This window comes from Homo sapiens, chromosome 16 (genome assembly GCF_000001405.40).
Source record: "Homo sapiens chromosome 16, GRCh38.p14 Primary Assembly".
In the NCBI taxonomy this organism is placed as follows: Eukaryota; Metazoa; Chordata; class Mammalia; order Primates; family Hominidae; genus Homo; species Homo sapiens.
Window position 1 is genome coordinate 71,619,063 of NC_000016.10, and position 6,000 is coordinate 71,625,062.

A 6,000-nucleotide genomic window follows, 5' to 3' on the forward strand; every position below is an offset into this window, starting at 1 on the left:
CAGTTCTTGTGAGGAATCAGAAGGAGAGGAGAGCTGTAGAGACCTCAACCTTCTTAGAGATTACCTAAGCATACCGGCACAGTGGCTCACACCTGTAATCCCAGCACTTTGGGTGGCAGAGGCCAGCGGATCATCAGGTCAGGAGTTCAAGACCAGCCTGGCCAACATGGTGAAACCTTGTCTCTACTAAAAATACAAAAATTAGCCAGCCGTGGCGGCACATATCTGTAATCCCAGCTACTCAGGAGCCTGAGGCAGAAGAATTGCTTGAACCCAGGAGGCAGAGGTTGCAATGAGCCAAGATGGCACCACTACACTCCAGCCTGGGTGACAGAGCGAGATTCTGTCTCGAAAAAAAAAAAAAAAAGAGATTACCTAAGCAATCGTGATCAGGATGTTCATGGAAATATAGACTGTCAAGGCCATTCTGATGAGCTCTCCGACAGCAGTGAGAAACATGTTATTATAAACTGGAGGAAAGGCCATCCTTGTTATAGAGTGGCAAAGAACTTGGCTGAATTGTGTTCATGTCATAGTGTTTTGTGGAAGGTAAAACTTGCAAGCAATGAAATAGGCTATTTGGCAGAAGAAATCTCTAAGTAAGTGTTGAAGGTGTGGCATGGTTTCTCTTGACTGCTTACAGTAAAATATGAGAAGAAAGAATTGAATTAAAAATAAAATTTATAATTAAAAGAGAAGTTGAGGGCTGGGTGCAGTGGCTCACGCCTGTAATCCCAGCACTTTGGGAGTCTGAGGCGGGTGGATCACGAGGTCAAGAGTTCGAGACCATCCTGGCCAACATGGTGAAATCCCGTCTCTAATAAAAAAAATACAAAAATTAGCCAGGCATGGTGGCACATGCCTGTAATCCCAGCTACTTGGGAGGCTGAGGCAGGAGAATCACTTGAACCAGAAGGCAGAGGTTGCAGTGAGCCAAGATCGCTCCATTTCACTCCAGCCTGGGAGACACAGCAAAACTCTGTCTCAAAAACAACAACAAAAAAGAGACTGGTATATTGTATCTGTAGCCACAATGGTGATCATGGCAGGGCTTGGAATGGAGTGAGTCTTCAATGAAATGCTGAAGGGACCAGGAGCCCAGTTCATGACATTATCAAAACACAGTAGAAAGTGAATGAATCGCCGAAGACCGATTCAGACTTTGAATGACAAAGACTTCTGACTCTTCCCTAACTTCCATTCTCCCCTGTCCTGGTCCAACTGGGCTGCTCTAAGAATATACCCTAGATGGGTAATTTATAGACAGACTTTTATTTCTCACAGTTCTGGAGGCTGGGAACTCCAAGATCATGGAAATGGCAGATTCAATGACTGGTGAAGGGCTGCATTCTCTCATGGCAGAAGAGACAAATGCTGCATCTTCACACAGTGGAGGGACACAGGAGCTCCTTTCAAACTTTTTAATAAGAGCATGAATCCTATTCACAAGGGCTCTCCCCTCGTGACTTAATCACCTCCTGAAGGCCCCACCTCTTAATACTATCACATTGGCGATTGAGTTTCAACATATGAATTGTAGGGGCACACATTCAGACCATAGCATCCCCCTTACTCTTATAAAAACGCCAAGTTTTTAGCTGGGTATATGGCCACACTTCCCAGCTTCCTTTGCACTTATACATGGTCATGTTACCATCTTGGTCAACAAGAATTGAGAAGAATTAATATCTGCAACTTGTGGGTCTCATTCTTACAGAAGGAAAGCCCTTCCTGGTCCCCTTTCTTCCTCCCTCCCTGCAGACTGTAGTGTAGACATGGTGTTGGCCATCCTGGACCACGTAGATGAGGGCAATATCTAAAGGGTAGCAGAAAAAGAAGCTAGAAGGGGTGTGGACTTCTGACAATGTCACAGAGCAGAGCCACCAGATCAGTCATTTCCAAGAGAGAAATAACTATCTTGTTTAAGATACTTTTATGTTGAGTCTCTAGCCCATCCAGCCAAACTTATAACCTAACTATGACAAGCCTCAAAGGAAAGAGAATCACTCTGCATATGGAAGCAAGCAGAATGCACCTATGCAGGGCTCCAGAATGAGTATTCTCCACTCGAGGGAGCATCCAGGGAAGTGGGAACTTCAGGGGAGAGGTAGGTTAGACCAGGAGGCAAAGCAGTTATGTCAGTCGGTTCTTGCATTGCTTTAAGGAAATACCTGAGGCTGGGTAATTTATAAAGAAAAGAGGCTTAATTGGCTCACGTTTCTACAGGCTCTACAGGAAGTGTGTTGCCAGCATCTGCTTCTTGTGAGGGCCTTCGGAAGCTTCCAGTCATGATGGAAGGTGAAGGGTGAGCAGGCACCTAACATGTCGAGAGAGGGAGCAAGGGTGGGAGGAGATACCACACTCTTTTAAATGACCAGATGGATCTCTTGTGAACACAGAGCAACAACTCACTTATCAACAATGGAATGGTGCTAAGCCATTCATGAGGGATCCGCCCTCATGATCCAATCACCTCCCACCAGGCCCCACCTCCAACACTGGGAATCACATTTCATCCTGAAATTTGGAGGGGACCAACATCCAAACCATATCAGCAATTCAGCGACAAAATGAAGTCACAAAAACTGATAGGTGTATCAGGGTAATTCTTTTTTTTTTTTTTTTTGAGATGGAGTCTCACTCTGTTGCCCAGGCTGGAATGCAGTGGTGCAATCTCTGCTCACTGCAACTTCCGCCTCCCAGGTTCAAGTGATTCTCCTGCCTCAGCCTCCCAAGTATCTGGGATCACAGGCACGCGCCACCACACCTGGCTAAATTTTGTATTTTTAGTAGAGATTTGGTTTCACCATATTGGCCCAGGTTGGTCTCGAACTCCTTACCTCACGTGATCCGCCTGCCTCAGCCTCCCAAAGTGCTAGGATTACAGGCATAAGCCACCATGCCTGGCCTAGGGTAATTCTTCTGATGTCAAAAGAACAGAGAAGGCAGCTTCAAGGGACTCCCACTGGCCAAATTGGGGCAATTTTAAATATCAGAAAAACAAACAGAATTAATGGATTACAATGCATTATTAGGGAAAAAATGAGTCTACAGAGATAATAGTTTGCCTCCATTTTTTATGTCTAACTCCCAACAGCTTTGAAGCCTCATTCTGCTCCTGCCTTTTTATCCCACATGTGGTGAACTAATAAGAAAACCCAGGTATGCCCTTGGCACAGACAGGAAACTGACAAGAACCCTCACCCTAGTGCTACTCTCTAACCACAATAAAACCCCAAAGCCAGTCACCCCTTCCTGCTTTCTCAAACCATTTCAGACCTACTTGGAAACCTGCTCTGCTCTCCCCAGAAAGCCTCATTATGGCACTAATAAATATTTTTATTCCTTCATGGTATGTTTTGGGCATCTGTCTCAGTTTTGGAACCAAATTTTGGGTGTGGTTTTCAAATTGTTTCTGTGGGATGATCAGCTGGATAAGAGGGAAAATTCTTCTTTACAGGAGAATGTCAACAAATTAATAAATTTAGAAGAATTCATAGAATTAGAAACCATGACTTTGCAACTATCATTGCAATAATTGATTCAGGCAAGAAAGGTTGTGGGGAAACACATTGTCTCAAAGTTATTAAATATAAAAGTGGAAGTACTTTTAAAATGGAGAATATAGCAGACACCACCTTGCCCAAGTGATCAATTTGACATCACCAATAATGGGACAAACTGACATCTTGTGCCTCCTGATAGGATGTACCAAGAAGGATACAACATCACCTATTTTAATCTGCCTGCCAAAAATATTGAACATAAATATAATCATAAGGAAACCATAAGACAAGCTCAAAATGAGAGTCAGTCTGAAAAAAAAAAAAATAACTGGACTAAACTCTCCTAAAAAATCAGTGCTGTGTGGCCTGGCACAGTGGTTCATGCCTATAATCCCAGCACTTTGGGAGGCAAAGGTAGGCAGATCACTTAAGCCCAGAGTCCGAGACCAGCCTGACCAACATGGTGAAATCCCATCTCTACTAAAAATACAAAAATTAGCTGGGCGTAGTGGTGCATGCCTGTAATCCCAGCTACTCGGGAGGCTGAGGCAGAGAATAGCTTGAACCCAGGAGGCAGAGGTTGCAGTGAGCTGAGATGGCGCCACTGCACTCCAGCCTGGCAACAGAGCGAGACTCGTCTCAAAAAAAAAAAAAAAAAAAAAAAAAAAAAAAAGTCAATGCTGTGAAAGAGAAAAAAAATGTTGGGAAACTGTTACAGATTGAAGGAGACTTAAGGGAGACTAAACAGACATGATGATGATGATGTGACAATGCATTATTCACATATCATGAATAGTCCTTAATTGAATCCTCAGATTTTAAGTGGGGAGGGAGTACATATAAAGGACATTATTGGAATAATAGGGGAATTGGGTTATAGAGTATATATTCGATAACATAATATCAATGCTAAATTTCTGGATTGTGGTCACTGTAATGTGGCTGTGTAGGAGGAAGTTATTCTTTGGAAAAATATGTTGAAGTATTTAGGGGAAGAGCCATGTGTCTGGAATTTAGCACACATGTTTCATTTTTTAAAGTTTTCATCCATATATAGAGAGATGGAACAAATGTGGCAAAATGATAATAATTTGTGTATAAAGACACAAAACAAAGAGAAATGAAACTAAAAGGCAAGCTGGTTTGAGGGTTTGTTTATTCTGAAAGAGGTCTGCAGAAGTCAAGAGCGAAGGTCGAAGAGAGGAAGGGCTATGCTGTTCCACAAACCATCCTGTGTCTGCTTGTTTACCAGGCTTCCTCTGCATCCATAGTTGTCCCGGGTTCAGAACAGGGCTTTGCTCAATAAAGATTTGTGGAAGGTCCTAGAATTTGGCCCCATCCTCTCCACTCTGGGAAGAAAGGCTTCAGGGGTCACAGTAGCACTTCTGTGGGTTGGAGGTTGATGTCTTGTCACCCCCACCCTCTTCTTTTTCCTTCTACTCACTCATCACTTCTTAATCCTCTTGAGTCTTAGCTCTAAAAGTTAGAATTCCCTAGGGACTCTGCCTAAGGCCTCTTCTCCATTCTACTTTCCTCCTTTCTCTACTCCCACAGAGCATCTCCAGCCCAATCCTCTCCCCATATTTCAGACTCATATATTCAACTGCAACTAGACATCTACACTTGGATGAATTATAGCCATCTCAAATTTACCATGTCCAAAATGGAACTCTCTAATTTCCCCGCAAATCTGGTTCTGTCCAGTCTCCCCCGTCTCAGTGAAAAACCCCACCATTCACCTGGTCACTCCTCCCCTCCCCTCATTTCCCCACATCTGATCCATACTGTAAATTCTTCCCCAAAACTACAACCTGGATCTGTCAACTTGTCACTGTCTCCATGGCCACCGTCACCCTCACCTGGACTCCTTCAGCAGCAGCTTTGTAACTCATCTCTTCCCTCTACTCTGGGCCTCCATCATCCACCCTCCTCACAGAAGCCAGAGTGGTCTTTCAAAAATATCAATCAGAAAGGTTTACTCTCCTCCTCAAAATCTTCAATGTTCTCCCATTGTTTAGAATAAAAATGCACACTGTCGTCTACACCATCTGCCTGGTCCACTTCTCCAGCCTCAATTCATGCCCACCAACTCTACTCCCAGGGACCTCCTTGTCCAGCTCCCGCGTTCCTCAACCTTCTCTCTTTCTGGGACATTTTCTCAGCCTTCTTGTCATCCAGAACTCAATTCAAACGACATCTTCCCAGGTCTATATGAGGAAACCTGCCCTTCCCATTAAACTTTAGACACTGTCTTCTTTGTTTACTACCTGTTTTCCCTTTTCCTGACACACTAGAATGCAATCACCCTGCAAGCAAATTTTCCACTATATCTCCAGTACCTGCTAAAGCAGGTGCTCATACATATTTGCTGAAAGAATTAATTACCAGATGGCAATTGTATATATTTTGTAATATCCTTACTTGGCAGAATTAAAAGCTGCCAATTTTGTGTAAGTCCCCATTTTAAAAAACAGGGCTATTTGTAAGCCCAGGA

The 6,000-nt window shown here is 43.6% G+C and overlaps 1 long non-coding RNA gene across 1 annotated transcript in view; it reads right to left on the reverse strand.

Annotated features, from left to right (window-relative positions):
• The window catches only part of LOC105371334 (uncharacterized), a 37,613-nt gene extending 35,294 nt beyond the window's left edge, over nucleotides 1-2,319 (reverse strand). Inside the window, exon 1 of the long non-coding RNA XR_933717.2 lies at nucleotides 2,217-2,319. This is a non-coding gene — a long non-coding RNA (uncharacterized LOC105371334). The remainder of the gene's footprint in view (nucleotides 1-2,216) is intronic.
• Between the last annotated feature and the right edge of the window lie 3,681 nt (nucleotides 2,320-6,000).